General features: G+C 41.8%; 1 protein-coding gene across 1 annotated transcript in view; it reads right to left on the reverse strand.

Moving 5' to 3' along the window:
* The window catches only part of LAMA1 (laminin subunit alpha 1), a 176,056-nt gene that overhangs the window by 23,244 nt on the left and 135,071 nt on the right, over positions 1-17,741 (reverse strand). The window contains exons 41-50 of the mRNA NM_005559.4: positions 17,512-17,605; positions 15,536-15,652; positions 13,211-13,393; positions 12,742-12,896; positions 10,952-11,095; positions 9,918-10,051; positions 8,072-8,222; positions 6,872-6,996; positions 1,162-1,312; positions 303-447 (exon numbers count right to left, since the gene is read on the reverse strand). Coding sequence (NP_005550.2) covers positions 303-447; positions 1,162-1,312; positions 6,872-6,996; positions 8,072-8,222; positions 9,918-10,051; positions 10,952-11,095; positions 12,742-12,896; positions 13,211-13,393; positions 15,536-15,652; positions 17,512-17,605 — 1,399 coding nt within the window. The remainder of the gene's footprint in view (positions 1-302; positions 448-1,161; positions 1,313-6,871; positions 6,997-8,071; positions 8,223-9,917; positions 10,052-10,951; positions 11,096-12,741; positions 12,897-13,210; positions 13,394-15,535; positions 15,653-17,511; positions 17,606-17,741) is intronic.

Here is a 17,741-nt window from a genome sequence, read left to right on the forward strand (position 1 = left end):
TACACATTGCTAAATAAGAGCAGTATGCATGTGGAAGAAAACAGAATGGATTTGATTCTTGATTCCAATCCAGCATTTACTGTTAAATAACACACTTGGAAATCACAGGCAAATACAAGTATAACCCTCCTCCAGCAAAATGTGAATCCTGTTGGTTAGTATTCCAAAGACAACACTGGCTTCCAAGTAGACTATCATTCAATACCCAGGAAACTACTGTGGAAAAAAAGAATGCTGATTTTGAAAAGATTTCTATTCTTATGAGGGTGACCGACATCTGGTGAGTCCATCTGTGTCCCTACCTTGCTTCCGGTTTCGCTGGAAGGCAATTTTGTACCAGGTTCCATTGTTATAACGTCTGTCTGTCAAAAGGGTAATGGGTCCTGAACCCAGGTCAGTCATAACCTTCACTCTGCCACGAAACAGCTCGATGGATAAAAAGTCTTTCTGTAAAAAAGAGAACACAGTTCCCCAGGTTATAGCTTTATCCCAGGTTTCCCTTTCCCTTCAAGTCAGGGATGGCTGAAACCTTCTAAAGTCAAACTGAGAAAACTGGATCTGGCCCCACAGCCAGAGGTCTATCGGCTACGAAACCAAAAATGCCCACGAAGGCTTTCTAGAACACTACACTAATATAAATGAAATGTCATCTGTTGTTACCAAAATCCACAATTCAGTAAGAGAAGTGGAATCTCCTCGTATCTTTTTCATTGAGACTGACAAGGGGCCCGTTCTAAAAAATAAAACCAAAAGACTGAAAGACAGAAATCACCAGCCCATGAGATGCAAACAAGAACATGAAATTCCCATGGATGGAATTCAAACAATGTCACGGTGGTCACAGTGAACCCAGAACAAGACATATTATTTGAGCTCGAAATTTAATAACAAATGTTGAATTGATATCTATAAAGACTAGAAGGCTAGTTTCTACTTGGTGTTCTTCTATATTTTTCTAAAGGTTCTACAATGATAATAAATAATTTAAAATGAGGAAATTGTTTAGCACACACATATATTAATACTAGCATATGCTCATAAAAATTGTATGGTATACATATGTACATATTTAATTAGTAAATCCTCATTAAACATAAACAACCACATAGCAATCTAAATGTGTGTATACAGTAGGGCCTAGGGCCGCACAAACACTCTTACTGTGCCGTATGAACCCAGGTAGAGAAGAAGTCCATTAGGTGAAAAGGTATTAAAAAGCATGATTATCTGGGTCACGGTAGCCGGAAGTGACTTCTCCACGACAGAGTACCCACTCCCGTCAAAATGGAAGGAAGGGTCTTCATTCTGGGAGCTGCAAAGCAGAAGAGATGAAATAGAATCCATTCTCAGGAGGGTAGAAAGAACCAAGAACACACTTACTGAGTTCTCCTTCACAAAGATCACTGTAGAGCTATTAGTTCCATACTTTCATAACAAGTGTAGATGATAATATTTAAAAATATGCTTGCCATGTGAAGATGCAAGACAAATGCCCAGCTGCTTTATAAGGAAAATAATGTTAATGTAGGCAGTATTCATTGTGGTAAAAATACATTTCTTTACAGGAGGATAACTGCTATAAATATTTCAGTTTATCAACTGGATTTATTTATTCTAATCTCCTTTAATATAACTGTCCTCTCTTAACTCTGGTGCCTTCAGAATAATTTTTATATTGACATTTTCACTTTGCTGATGAGGTTTTATCTAATACCTTAGGGAAACTAGAGTTATGATGGAAAGCAAGTATGTGCCCATATACCAGAAGCATCACTTCACAAAACAATCATCACTGACATCCTCAAAAATCTGCAGGATGAGCTTAAAGACCCATATCATACTTAGAGATGAGTACGTAGGTTGAAACAGGGATATAATACGGCCCAGGGCATTTTCAGGTGAGTGTGTTTTCTGGTCTTCTCCCCCAACAGAGCAAAAGGCTGACTTGACTCACTATTCAATCGCAAAGCCATTCATCTGGAACAGATCATAATTATGTTCCAAAAATAATTTTCTGGAATATCATGAGGCTTGAGAGTGAAACTTGGATGAGGATAGTTTTTGGGTAAGAATTTGAACTGTTCCCAGTTAGAGGTGTAACAACAAAACTCAGTGCCACATTTCCAAGCAAGGCAGTCTAACCAAACAGTAAAATCGTTTCCATGGATGATAAAAGAAAACAAAACAAAAAATAGTGCTTTGTGAAACCTGAGGTTTCAAATGTATAACTATAACTACCTGCACTCTTGCTTTTTCAAAAATTTCCATCATGTGGTCTCTTTGAGGAATTATAACTTAAAAGAAATGCACTCTAGATAAATTCTTCAACTATGGTTTAATTCTTTAATTCTTAAGCCTGTGGCTTCCTAGCCATATGTTCCATTGTTCTACCTCTTGGCCAACCACAGTGCATGTGCCGGAGGATAGAGACTCTAGAGCTAGACTACTAGGGTTCAAATCCCAGGTCCCCAACATACTAGCTGTGTGAACTTGGAAAACTCACCTAACCTCTCTGTGTGCCCTTTCCTTCAGCTATAAAACAGGGATAACCATAAAACCTCTCTGGGAGGGCTGCCCCAGGCAGTTCTTAGAACAGTGCCTGGCACACAACAGATGTTTTCTCTCATTATTCTGCAGTGTTCGGAGGTCCTCGATGGGCCGGTCTTCATTTCTGCCTATGAAAAGCTGAGCCTCAAAGATTAAAGTACCTTGTTCAAGGACACACCCCAAGAAATCACAAAGCCAGGTTTCAAACAAAACTCCAGAAATTTGTCTTGGTCCTCAGTGCATGGCCCTTCCCTCTCCAGAGCCCGTGAGCCCTCCTCTCCCAAAAACATGGGGGCTTTCTCCCTTCCCAGAGCCTGTGAGCCCTCCTCTCTCAAGAACGCGGGGGCTCTGCTACTGGGTTCTCTCCCCAAACAGGGCCTGCTGGAGTGAGGTGGCCACGAAGAGGGGGACCTCAAATGAAATGATGACTGAACATGACCGAAGGCTTGTCCCCATGTCAGTCACTTCCCTGAACTTCTCCCAGAGCCCCTGCCAGTTTCCAGACTATGACCAGAGGCACATGTGCCTCAACAGTCGGCCCAGGTGCCTGTTCCCCAAGTGGGTCTCTGCCTTGGTAAGGGCCCAGGACAAATGAAAGCTCGGTTCATCACAGCACTTTGTGGACAGCTCTGTTCCAGCCTTGGAAATGCCACCATCACCCGCAGGTTCAAGTGGGAGCCTGGAATTAGGAGAGCGTCCGCCCTCCCCAGCGCTCAGCCCCGTGAGTCTGGAAGAATCACCAGACCTCCCTGATTCTCCGAGGGCTCCCTCATGAGATGTGGATAATCCGGAGCTGACCTACTAGCATGCCCTGCTGCCGTCATGCGAGGGCATGAGATAACCCTGGCCCGGGCTTGGGATGCTGCTTCTCCAACTCTGGCCCCTTGCCACAGCCCATGCATTTTCTGCTTTCTATACAGGCATTTTCCCCTACGCCATGAGATGTCTGAGGACATAAATGTGTGATGTATGTGGACATGGCCGGTACCTAGCAGAGGGCCCGGAACGCAGGTGACTGACTCGTGTCAAAGGCCAGCCACGTAGCCAGCACTCTCTCACAATGTCCACTCGTAAATAATACAAGGATTATGCCTGTTAATTAAATAAAGGGTCTTTCCATATTGATTTTGATGAGGACTGTTAGAATCAGTGGTTAATTCTGCAGCATCCTTTGAGAATATAACAGACTGCTCATAATTACAGAGTGACCCCATGTACAAGTGTAATAATATATTCAAGGAGGAATAAAAAAGTTTCAATTCATTTACTTGGTAATATAAATCACGTTTAAGAGTAAACAGTCAAAAATTTTTTAAAAATTTAGAGGACATCGATGGGCTACACTAATGATTTAATAATGGCAAATTATACACAAACAGAAAGGGACAAGGAATTATAATCTAAGTCTGCTAAAATGGATTGTTACTAGAATTAGGGTATTAACTCTTTGAACTAAAGTTCTTGTCTAACAGGAGAAGGGGTGCAGTGGGGGATGTTACCTAAAATGAAGACGGTTCAATCAATTTACAAACAGACGTAAAGTGCCAGTCTGTGCCTATATCAGCACTTCACAAAATATGTTTTACGAGGCAGATGCAACTCCAGATGCACTTTTTTTTTTTTGAGACAGGATCTCACTCTGTCACCCAGGCAGAAGTGCAGGGGCTCAAGTGCTCCTCCTACCTCAGCCTCCGGAGTAGCTGGGACTACAGGCGCACGCCACCATGCCTGGCTAATCTTTTTCAATCCACCTGCCTTGGCCTCCCAAAGTGCTGGGATTACAGGCGTGACCCTCACCCAGAGGTACCTTTTCAGAAAGGGTTCAAGCTCAAGTGAGTTTGGGAAATGCTGCAACTCTAGCCTCTCCCCAGGACAGGGTTACCATGCATGTCAGCATATTAATGCTAATTAAAGGCTCCGATGGCCTCGCAGCCAAGAAACATGCTTATTTTTTTAACTCAGTGTTTCCCAAACATTTATGATCAGTACACAATACCTATTAATACCCTACACCAAACTAGCATTCTTTACAAACACGTATTTTTGGAAATGTTGGCCAATATAACAGTGGATTTGTTCAGTCCCCAGAAAAACATATTTAATCAGACCCTAGTTTGGTTGAGCTGATGAGTCAATGTGGTTCTACTACTCAGCTGGGTGGCCAGCCCTCCGTCAAAAAGCCAGTCTCGAGTTGGCAGGAGGGCAGCATCTTTGACCCAAAGGTCCAGGGTGTGTGGAAATCCGGAGGCAGGCCAGGTATTTCAAGGGGAACAAAACATGTGACCACCTAAAAAGCTGACTTCCTCATCCCAACAAAAAAAGAAGAGCCGGAAATCATTCAATTCATTCAGTGCTGTAGCTTGACGTCAATGATTTCAAAATACCTCTGGAAATGACTGATGAAAATAGAGGATATGGTCACAGGTAAAGTAGGGGGACTTTTTCATACTAGAAATGTTTAATTTCTGTTAACCATTTTTCTTTCTAACAGTGAGGTTAATGATCTGGGGTCAGTGGAGGGGATAGAGTCTAGGGGTCGGGGTGTTTTTCATGTTAGAATTACTAAATTGCTGGAAGAGTTCCTTGCTGGAAACACAGAATAAGGAAAAAGTGGCGGATCAGAGAGCCTGAATTCAGATGCTCTTTCCACTGAAGTTCCAGAGCAGGGTGTGTCATTACCTCACGAGGCAACAGCATTTTTTATCATAGCTGCCAATTACAAAGCCATGCTTTTTCACACGTTTATTGTCAAAAAAAAATCCTGTGACATTTATCTACAAAGCAAAGCCACATCACTGTAGGAGACCAGTGGTGAAGACTGGTAAAGTGTTTCCAGTTTATAAAGCATTTTCACACGCATCATGTTGTGTGTTCATCACTGTGATTTATAGAGGTGGGTAAGACAAGAACGATGATCATTTTTCTTTTCTGGAAAAAGAAACCAAACCTCAGTGAGGTGAAGAGACTTATTATCCAAAGTCAGGGAAGAAAATTTTGGTGGGGGACCTGGGCCAGAAGCCTGAGAAACTCAAGACTCCAAACCCTATATTCTTTTTCAATCTTAAGGCTACAATCACCAAACCTCTGGTCCTAACTTTTTTTTTTTTTTGAGATGGAGTTTCGCTCTGTCACCCATGCTGGAGTGCAGTGGCATGATCTTGGCTCTGCCTCCCGGGTTCAAGCAATTCTCCTGTCTCAGCCTCCTGAGTAGCTGGGACTACATGCATGTGCCACCATGCCCAGATAATTTTTGTATTTTTAATAGAGACGGAGTTTCACCATATTGATCAGGCTGGTATCGAACTCCTAACCTCAGGTGATCCGCCCGCCTCGGCCTCCCAAAGTGCTGGGATTACAGGCGTGAGCCACCATGACCGCCTGGTCCTAACTTTTTAAACAAGCGAAGGAAGGGGAAAAGAGAAGGCTTAAACTACAGACCTGACAATGACAAAATGAAAAATTCACCCGTGAGTTTCTAAATGTGCTGTGAGTTGCTTTAACTGATCTTGTCACTGGATAATTGCAGATATCCATCTGGACAGAGCAGCCCATTAGACAAGAGAAATTATATCAGATGTTACATTTCTCTAACGGAAAAAAGCAATTTATGTCTTAATTACTAAAGTGATGGAAAACAGGTTTTATATACTTAAGGAGTTGCAGTTATTTTGTTATAAAATAATGGGTTGGGGGGGAAGATGTTGCACTTGGTAAGGTTAAGTCATTGAATGCCTTTATATCAATATATGCAGAAACATACTCATTTTTCTCTATTTCCTAATGCATTTTATTTCTGGAATTATAGAACTTGGTTCGGAATTGGAAAGTACTTAGCTGTAAAAACTGACCACACGTGAAAAAATTCTTATCCTTGGAGATATTTTCAAAATAAAAATGTACAGTGATTTATAAAGATTTGGTTGTGGCTCTCTGAGACAGAAGGTTGTTTGAGAAATTGTCTGAAACGTTTAGGGTTTATGATCCATGATCAAAGCATAAAAGACATAGGAAAAAGAGCACTTCTTTTTAAAGGGTTAAAAATGATACCTGTGCTTCTCTCAGTAACTAATCTACATTATATCATCTGACAATATAATATAATAATATAATGTAGATTGGTATAATCTACATTATACCAATGTCACAGGATTTTTTTTTGACAATAAACGTATGAAAAAGCATGGCTTTGTAATTGGCAGCTAAACACCTACCAGCGATATCACAAACTCTATTCCTTGACGTGCATGTATTAATACATTCTTTCAGCACTTCTCAGATGTTAACAGAATAACATACTATGTGCTAAACCGTGACGACATCTTACCTTCCGAAGCACCCACGGCACTTGCCTTCCCTTTCAATATAGTTCCATAGGCCTATGGATTTTCCATTCAGGAAGGCCTCCCCCAAGCAGCCTTTAAAATGAGTAACCTTCACAGCAGGAGATTTCTAATGCAAACAAGCAAACAAACATAACCAATATATAAGCTGACCAAGCAAAATACATTCTCCAAGTGCACAAAACTTCTCTCTGGGAGCTTCAATCTAACAGATCCAAATTTTGAGAGAGCCACATTAGAAAAAAGCCAGTTTGTAATCACTGGATTTCCTTTCAGTTATGAAGTGGAATCCTAGAATGAGTAACAACTGGGCAGGATCTTAAAGATCATCTCAGTGACTAGGGTTGATGGAGAGAATCGTGTTGTACGAGTGAGAAAACAGAGAGCCAGAGAATGTGATTGGTAGTGAGGGCCCAGCTGGACCTGAGACCTAGACTCCCACTTCAGAGCATTGAACCAGATCCAAAAAACACAATTATATTTGGTGAGAGGAGAACTGATATAATAAAATAAATATGGTGGGCTTTTTTGCTAAACACTGATTAGTATTAATTGACCACTAACTAGAGCTAGACTAGAGATAAAGAAACTTTACAGAAATTAACGTGGAGCACTGAATTTCCTGTTCATCACTGGGAAAGAAACCCAAACAGCAAGATGAGCCATTGGCTTTTTCTCCATTTATGCTACTGATGAAGCATCACCCTTTACTGTACAAAACCAGCCTAACTCTGCAGAGGAACTGTCAGAAAGCAAAACAAAAGCAGAAACATCTTCATCTGCTTAGGATATATTCAACCATCTAAACATATGCTTTTATTTTTTTATTTTTTTGAGATGGAGTTTTGCTCCTGTTGCCCAGGCTGGAGTGCAATGGCGCGATCTCAGCTCACTGCAACCTCCACCTCCCAGGGTTCAAGTGATTCTCCTGCCTCAGCCCCCTGAGTAGCTGGGATTACAGGCATGTGCCACCACACCCGGCTAATTTTGTATTTTTAGTAGAGACAAGAGTTTCTCCATGTTGGTCAGGCTGGTCTTGAACTCCGGACCTCAGGTGATCTGCCCACCTTGGCCTCCCAAAGTTCTGGGATTACAGGCGTGAGCCACCACGCCCGGCCCATGACTTTTATATATAGGTAAAATCAGTCAATCAGTCCTGTTCAGAAGAACTTTCGTAATGTTACCTTGATTTGTCCTCCAAGACCTCCAACAAACATGAGTGTTGAATTGTTTACATCCAGAACATTAGCTGTCCCAGGGGATTTACTTGTTTTTGTTGGTGACTTTTGATTTGAGCTCATTTCCTTTACACTCAGTGAACCAATGTTTCCAAATCTAAGGGTTACAAAGAATTGCAAAAGAAATTTTCAGAATTTCCAGTCAGCGCACATACAATCCCGTTTCCTTCACACCCACCATCTGCTTCTCCCCAAGGGCCCTGCAACAGCACCCCCCTGCTGGCCTCCTGGCTTCCAGTCTTGCCTACTGCCCGAAATCTTCAAGAGTGTCTCTTCCGAAACAGAAATTTCATCATGTTGTGTCCCTGCTTAAAACATCTGAGATGAGCTAAACTGTATCTGAAGATATGTCTACTCCGTAAATATTATCCCATTTTGTAAATTAAAAAAATCCCAACAAACCATAATATTATAGAAAAGTGAAAACATACACTTAAAGCTGCTCAAAAGTGATTACCTCTGAAGGATTTTAAAAAGAAGAATTTTGCTTTGTGCCTGAATTTTAAGAAAATGCACCCCCCACTTGCATCCTTATTTTCTGTCCTTGACTTAAGTGCAATGTGCTGCCAGCCACATGCAATGTCTACCATGCCACACCTTACACCTCTCTCCTGAGGAATTTTACCAGGTTGGCTGCCTTACACGTAGACTTTCTAAAAGTAACATTCTTTACTTTTTAACTTTATTAGAGGCAGGGTCTTGCTCTGTCGCCCAGACTGGAACGCAGTGGTGTGATCATTGCTCACTGCAGCCTTGACCTCCTGTGCTCCAGTGATTCCCTGCCTGAACCTCCCGAGTGGCTAGGACTACAGGCACACACCACTGTGCTTGGATAAATTTTTAACTTTTTTTTAGAGACAGAGTCTCACTATGTTGCCCAGGCTAACCTCAAACTCCTTCTTGCTCAAACAATCCTCCCACCTCGGCCTCCCAAAGCACTGGGATTACAGGAGTGAGCCACCATGCCTGGTCTCCAAAGGTAACCTAAACTTTTAGACATTTTAGACATTCTAAAGGTAACCTAAGCTTTTCAGTTTTTTCTTCTTCTGATTGTTGATTTTGGTATCAAAGTTTGTTTCTCCTGCAGTAAGAAAAAAATCCAAACCTTAAGTTTTTAAAAAAATTTTTTGAATTAATTTTTATTATATATTGTCAAATTATAGTTGTATATACTTCTGAGGTGCAAAATGTTGTTATGATTTTTGGATATGATGTGGAATGATTAACCATCAATGTGTGAATGGATAAAGAAAATGTGGTTTTATACACAAATACACAATGGAATACTATTATTCAGCCTTAAAAAAGAAGTTCTGTCACTTGTAACAAATGCTTATTTCTTTTCTTTTTTTTTTTTTTTTTTGAGATGGGAGTCTCGCTCTGTTGCCCAGGCTGGAGTGCAGTGGTACGACCTCCACTCACTGCAACCTCCACCTCCTGGGTTCAAGCAATTCTCCTGCCTCAGTCTCTTGAGTAGCTGGGATTACAGGCACCCACCACCACGCCCAGCTAATTTTTGTATTTTTAGTAGAGATGGGGTTTCACCAGGCTGGTCTCGAACTCCTGACCTCAGGTGATCCGCCTGCCTTGGCCTCCGAAAGTGCTGGGATTACAGGTGTGAGCCACTGGCCACAAATGCTTATTTCTACAGCTAACCTAAACCAAGTATTGTTTGGTTATAATCTGACTTTCCAGAAGTTTCAAAGCCTATTATATGATGTTACAAGCATGTAATTACTTATGAGACACACTTTAAAAAAGAGAGCTGCTTTGAGAGAACATTCTCTTCTACCTGGCTACATGGATACTGTGCCATCTGTTGTCATCAATGGGAAAGTCTGGAAACTCCAAGCGTGTGGACCCGGAGCCCAGGTCCCACAGGAAGGCCACTCTCCCTCGCCGCATCTCCACTGCAAGGAAATCAGACTGGGGGGCGAGGAATGAACGGGGATCAGTTTACACACTGGACTGTTTGCTGACCACCACAACACTTTACAGAGTCAATTCTTACGGGGTTTTCTCTTTTCTTAAAAATAAATACATAAAAAGCAAACCCCCCAAATCTATTTTCTTTTGTTTGAAATGGTCCCTTCCCTGGAGCTGGGGCATGACTCACAGCCCCGGGGACATTAGCGCCTCCCTGCGTGCCTGGCATGGCCCTCCTCAATGTCTCCCACAGAGTCCCCAGGAAAATTCGCTGCAGGTCACAGGCAGTCCACAGGGAGCACCAGGGAAGGCACTGAGCTTGCTCCTTTGCCCAGTCTCCGAGGTAAGAAATGGATGTGAAATATGCAGTAAGACAGGAGCCATGAGGTCCCACCCCTGTCACAGACTTGCATGCACTTTGCATCTCATCTCCTGAAGACATTTCAGATACTATATGTGCCCGTTAACATTTTCTGCCCTACACACCCCAGGCTTCTGACCTGTTCTCACTGGCACAGCCAAGGTATCGAAGACCTTTCATAGGCACTTGCCATCTGGAGACCACTGGAATCCTTGGCAAGAAAAACCTGACAGAAGCTTGACAATTCTGCTACTCAGTCACTCCAGGGGTCAACGGGGGAATCACAAAAAAGTTCCATCCCCAAGGCTTACAATTAAGATGGCATCCTTCAGAAACGCCACTTTCCTTCTCACAGGCATTCCATTTGGTAGTTTGTTCATTTTTCATCTAATGCTACCATTTTAACAAAGGTTAGTCCCTATGGGAGATTTAGAGATTTCACTAAGGCCTATTTTTTTTTCGTCAAATAAGTGAAAATTCAGAAAAATCTAGAAGTGCATAAAAGATTCAGTGTCGCTTTCCAAAGGTCCATAACTTACAGCGGTGCTGCTACCGAGGTAGAAGAGAAGATTATCGGGTTCCTGTGTCTTAACATTTAGTGTTAAGGTATTGTAGTTGGTAGAGGAAATCTGAGGCTGGTAGGCCCGGATGCAATCTCTGTCTGCAGACACGGCGACTTTAATCTGTAGAAGGAAAATGAAAGTGTCCCCATCATTTAGTGACACACACCGGCAGCTCACCAGCAGCTCAACAATGCTATTCTGTAATGAATTTTCACTGAGGCAGGTTTCCTCTCTTGATAACATACAATGGTTCATGTTTCATGAAGTGACATATCAGATGGTAACAAAAATGATTTCATTAAGTGTTTAAATATGAGAAAATCAGTGTTAGTTTTTAATAAGTTATTTTATATAGGAAACTGTCTTGCTCATATAAGATTTAATTCCTTAAAGACAAGGATCTTATCACCTTGGAATCTTTCCGCCTGACACAAAGAAAGAGGGTATTTGATAATCATCTGTTGAATAAATGGAGAGGTAATATATTTATTCACTCAGCAGATATTTATAGAGCAATTATTGCACTTACTACATATTTCTTTGACTAGTAATTCGTTGCATATGTATCTTACATTAAAGAGTCTAAGTTTGGTATTAACCTAGCATCAAGAAGCATTCCTTGGGCTTATATTTATTTATTTATTTATTTATTTATTTATTTATTTATTTAGGGTCTTGCTCTGTTGCCCAGGCTGGAGTGCAGTGGCGTGATCATAGCTCACTGCAGCCTTGAACTCCTAGGCTTGAGCAATCCTCCTGCCTCAGCCTCCTGAGTAGCTGGGACTACAGGTTCACACCACCAAGCCTGGTTATTATTATTATTTTTTTTAGTAGAGACAGGATCTTATTATGTTTCCTAAGCTCATCTCAAACTCCCGGCCTCAAGCAATCCTCCCACCTCAACCTCCCAAATTGTGGGAGTTACGGGTGTGAGCTACCAGGCCCAGCCTGTATTTATTTAGCAATTGTAACTGAAACAGATGCAAGCCAGAGCTCATGGAAACCAACATTCCTTTTCCAATAGCAAGGACACTTGAGGTTTTGGAAAAGACAGAGCCCTGTGCTCCTTTCTCTTCCCTAGAAAGCCTCAGGTGGACAAATGCAAGCCCAGAGGCTGCATTCATCCTCTCGAAGTCCCCAATCACATGACGACTGCACATTCTCTCAAAAGGAAACTTTTTCCCTTAGGGCACAGCCAGTGCCATGTGCCATGGGTAAAACATCTTCTCATGTGTGAACTGCTCCAGGTGTCCAGTGCCTCAGGCATTTAGTGACCTGGATTTGTGCAGCCTTCGTTGCATACAAACTGTTTTCTCAGACACCTCAAGGATGAGGCCCATACTACACAAACATTTTAAGGAATACTTGGATTATTAAAACTAAGTTGGTAAAACGAAGAACTAACACCACATGCAACCCATAAACTTAAGAGTGATGTTAACACGTAGATTTGACATGTTCCGCACTGTCCAGGCTAATAGTTTTAAATTTAGTCTATAATGATAAATCTCCATAAAGACATGGAAATCTCTTTGCTAACAACATTTTGAAGCATGTTGAACAAAAGCAGAACTCAAAGAAAATGAAGCTAGTTATTGGCTTTAAATATACCAAGACAGGGCTATGAGGAAGCCCAGATTATTGGGATCTGGGTCTTTGGAAGCCCTAAGGGGCGCAGTGTGACTGAGGGCCATGTCTGCATGAATTCCCTGGGACCCCACATGACTGAGAGCCCAGTTACGAAAGCCACGGGGCCCCAAACTCACAGAAGCTGCTTGTTTGCGGGCCTGGCTGATCAACAGTTTAATTTCTGATAGGTTTCTGCTCAGATTCTCCTCTAACATCTTCAAAGGCTTCAACCGATCAAACAAAAGGTTGGCTTGAATTTCCACGTCTTTGACTTTTCTTCCAGCCAACAGAGCTAACAAATACAAGAAGGCAAGGGGTGGCAAGAAAGTTGGGGAGAGGGAAAAACAAGATAATTAATTGTCCATTAACAATGCACTTGGTAAAACAACACCCTAACAATCAAAGCCATGACATTGTGGTACAAAGATGAAAACTGCACAAGTAGCATGCATTTCCCAAGGTCCTTCTCTTAATAAAGGCTAATCCAGATGTTAGCATACTTCTACTTTTCAGGAATGTTGTGAAAAACGCACCACTGTGTGCTTAGCTAGCTCCACGTCTGCATGACGCAGACGATCATGACTGGAAGGAAGGGCGCTGACATACTGGCCATGGTGGAGTCCTGCAGAAGCTGGTGTGTCTCTCGTAATGTGGTGTTGACCCTGGACAGGCTGGCAGATGTGTTCAGCAGCTCCTGGCTCAGCCCCGCCACGTCCCTCAGCGTGCTCACCGCGCTCTGGCTTGCAGACGTGGCCAGCTCTTTGGTTTTGGCTCCCTTGTCTCTTATACCTAAAATAAATGTATATAAAAGCATGCACTTCTGGTGCTTACACACAGAGAAAAGAATAAAACGACAACAAATGTAATTTCGCACAGAAATATATTATTGTCATATTACTGATGCTGAACACAAACTGAGGCTTGTCTGTTTGCTTTTTTTTCTTTTGGGCAGTGGTCAATGAACTAAGAGCTTCTTGTTTCTAATGGCAATATTAAAGCTGCATATCATATGCTCTACTATCCCCTTTTAGGGACAAATGAAATAATTTTTGTTAATACTTCTCTGGAATATGATTTCAATAAACAATGAGATCACAAAAGTAATGGCCAATCGCTGTGTGAGCTGTGTCTTACATCTTAATAAGCTGAACTTCTTTATTTGGGTCCTTTTCCATCACTCCTTTCTCAGCTTCATGAAACATGTCCTCCACCTCCTTTCATGTCTGGATAATAAGGATTTGGATCCTAGGTCTGCAGCTAAGGTGGGAATGTCTTAAGTTAAAGGAAGAGGTATTTGCCCATAGCATCAACTGGCTGCTAGAAGTAACAGCAGAATAAAGCCCAAACAGCCACTCAAGGTAAATTGGAATTCAGTTATTCTAGAAAATCTGGGTGAGGATTTTTAAAAGACACTATCATTCATTTTCGAAGCATTTAATCACAAGTGGGGCAAAACATTTACAGCAGAAAAAGCTGGAAAAAGGGTATACAGGTGGCCTTTTTACTTTTCCTGAAACTTTTCTGTAGGCTCGAAATTATTTTCAAATAAAAACGTTATTAAGCATTTAGTCAAAATATACCATGGCATCCTTATAAAAAAAGAAAAGGAAAAAAAAAATCTTCCGGATCAGAAAATGCTCCATTGTTTCAAAGTAAGAAGTAAGCCCAATGCAGCATGCCCAGTTTCCCCAGGTAACTTCCATGCTTACAAACAGGACTTTGGGGCTTCCTGTTTTTAATGGCTTTAAAGCACTTTATAAGACTTTTTCAAAAGATGCTTATTAAGAAAAAAAGGAGGACAGGCACAGTGGCTCACACTTGTAATCCCAGAACTTTGGGAGACCAAGGCAAGAGGGTCGCTTGAGGCCAAGAGTTCAAGGCCAATCTGGGCAACATAGCAAGACACGGTCTCTATAAAACAATTGAAATTTTCAAAGTAAAAAACAACAAAAGAACAAAAGAGAAGTTTGAGGTGCAGCACGATTCATTTGTATTACACATAAAAAAATTATCCTATTTAAAACTTTAGGCCAGGCGCGGTGGCTCACGCCTGTAATCCCAACACTTTGGGAGGCCAAGGCGGGCGGATCACGAGGTCAGGAGATCGAGACCATCCTGGCTAACACGGTGAAACCCCATCTCTACTAAAAATACAAAAAATTAGCCGGGGACGGTGGCGGGCGCCTGTAGTCCCAGCTACTCGGGAGGCTGAGGCAGGAGAATGGTGTGAACCCGGGGGGCGGAGCTTGCAGTGAGCCAAGATCGCGCCACTGCACTCCAGCCTGGGCGACAGAGCGAGACTCTGTCTCAAAAAATGTGTGCTGCTAGCCGGGTTCAGGCTTCACCCACTGGAAAGAACCACCATCTGCTCTAATCATGTAGACTTATTGCGGCCTGGCTTCTCTGTTACAATAAAATTACTGTAGACCCCCCCAAAAAATTTCATGAATACCACATTTCTAAACCATCAGTATTAAAGTGATCAGTGAGCCTAATGTTTTACTGCCTCACTGAGGAAGATGGCCAAGCGAGCAGTCTTCAGTTCGCCACACTGATAATGAATCTGGCATTTTCCCCTTAGGCAGGTAAAGCACATTCCAGCTTCTTTACTTGCTGACTTCTTTCAATGGTCCTTCTTCCTCTAAGCAATGTGTCAATCCCATTTCAAAAGTAAGCAATTCAGATACTATGCAGTCTCTGTTTTTAAGACTATAATTCTAGTAGCTTGATGCAAGTATTGTGATGTTATTTTAAAAACCAATGATTTTCATTTCTAAATCATATTCCTTTGCAAGTAAAAATTTTGCCAATCTTAGTCTCATTTTTGAGCTAAAGCCTTTATCAGTCTTGAGGCAGGACTTCCTTATGTTCCTGAGTGATGCTTTTACAATGAGAAGACGTTATTTACAGAAGAAAGTCCTTTCCACTTACCTTTAGGAATTGCTCTAAGTATCAAGAGTGATTCATTGGTTTGCCTGGTAATTTCAACAGCATTCTCTTGAAATCTGTTTGTCTTATTTCTCAATTCACTCAGTTCCAATGCAATACCTATTTAAAGGGAGAAAAATGTTTCCTTTCAGGTTAGCCTACAAAAAAGTTGCCTAGGCAACAGCTTTATCATTCTTGACCATCGACAGAATTCATAGCTTTCTAAAGAGATTCCCAATATTGACAGTTTTTCCAGCAAGACTGAGCACCACTCATTATAGAAATTAAGAGTATGGGCCAGGCGCGATGGCTCACGCCTGTAATCCCAGCACTTTGGGAGGCCGAGGCAGGCAGATCACAAGGTCAGGAGATTGAGACCAGCCTGGCTAACACAGTGAAACCCCGTCTCTACTAAAAATAAAAATAAAAATAAACATTAGCCAGACGTGGTGGTGGGCGCCTGTAGTCCCAGCTACTTGGGAGGCTGAGGCAGGAGAATGGCGTGAACCCGGGAGGTGGAACTTGCAGTGAGCTGAGATCGTGCCACTGCACTCCAGCCTGGGCGACGGAGCGAGACTCCGTCTCAAAAAAAAAAAAAAAGAAATTAAGAATGTGTTTCTAGCTTGCTCGATCATTTTCTCTACTTTGCTTGTTGACTTTTTCACTAATATTTCTACTTAAATTTCATGTCCAATTTTACTAGAGCTCAAGGATGAAGAGCTGTGTTTAAGTCACTCAGTCTTAATCAGACACACTAACTTTCTATTCCCATCTGAATCCTGGCCACCTTTCTCCTCTGGGTTGTAAAACCCCTAGGGTGGGCTCCTACCTGGGAGTCTTCCTCACAGTCTCCCACCTGCATCTCTGGCCAATCCTCCATCCCCTACTATTCCCTTCTGGCCACCCAACTGGAACTCAACTCAACCTCCTTCTCAAGTTTGATCACAGCTTTTACTTTTAAAATTTCTGTTCATAACATACAATCACATTTGGATTTTGAGCACATGGTTAAAACGTGAAATTTTAATTGCCAGCAAGCTCCCAATTTCACTACCTATGAAGTACCTCTAGTTGTACAGACTGAAATTACAGCCCATCAACACATTATACATTTTCGATACTGTGAGATGACAACATAAATTTTAAACTGTGTCACTCAATGAGAAAAAAAAATTATGTACATATCCAAGCCTTTAGTTCAGACAGCTGTGGAAGGATCCAGTGTTAGACTCGGAAGTAAGTCACCTGTAAAGGGTATGAGCTGTGTGCCTGGCCCACTATTTACTCCTCCAGAAATCTTGGTATTTTTGATCTATTAGAATATATTAAGGTGGAAAGCACATTATTTGTTATAAAAAATTGTAGGCCTACGTAGTTTCTCTTACATAACAGATTCCTGCTGCCACTTTGGTTCATGTTTATTGGATGGATTGCTCTTACATATGCCAAGTCATTCTTTCTTGAAACTTTAGGACAAACTAAACTGCATAGGTATTTTTTGAAAAATGGCTAAATCAATTAGGATTTAATTTAATGATTATTAAATGAGAACCTACCATGAGTCTAATATGATATTAGTTCCATGAGAAAGGTAAAAGAAATATCAAGCATAATACATCTCCTCAAGGAAAAACTAGAGGAGCACACGCAATCAAAGATAACCCAACAGACACTAGGAAGAACAGTGAAGGCTCCAAGCTAAGGCAATGAGTGGAGGATTATGGACAGGTTAAAGATAGAGATGACTGCACAATAAAGGAACAGATATCACTAGAATAAAAATGCCAAATTATATGAAGTTTATATGATAGGAAGTTTATACGATAGGAAAATTTATATGATAGGAAATTGGAATATAAATGGGACACAGAAATGCTAAGCTTCAAGTTGCTGCATGCAAGGAGAACATTCTTAGAGGCTGCTCAGCGAGACGCTCACGCTCACTCTGCCTGTCTACACCGTCCGAGCCACATACTGACCTGGAAGCTTCCTGCTGAGGTTGTTGCCTTCTTTTAGAAATCTGGAGCTGCGCTGCACGGCCGCTTTCCCGTTAGAAACAAGGGATTCTGAGAGCTGGAAAACAGAACCACTTAAGCGTGGTGAGAGCAGGGCAGGGTGGAGTCCTGCTGGGGACAGAGGAAGTGACTCCATCAGAGTAGCCCCCAGACACATTCCCAGCAAGAAAGTCAGCCAGGTACCAGGTAGGGAC

Source organism: Homo sapiens, chromosome 18 (genome assembly GCF_000001405.40).
Source record: "Homo sapiens chromosome 18, GRCh38.p14 Primary Assembly".
NCBI lineage: Eukaryota > Metazoa > Chordata > Mammalia > Primates > Hominidae > Homo > Homo sapiens.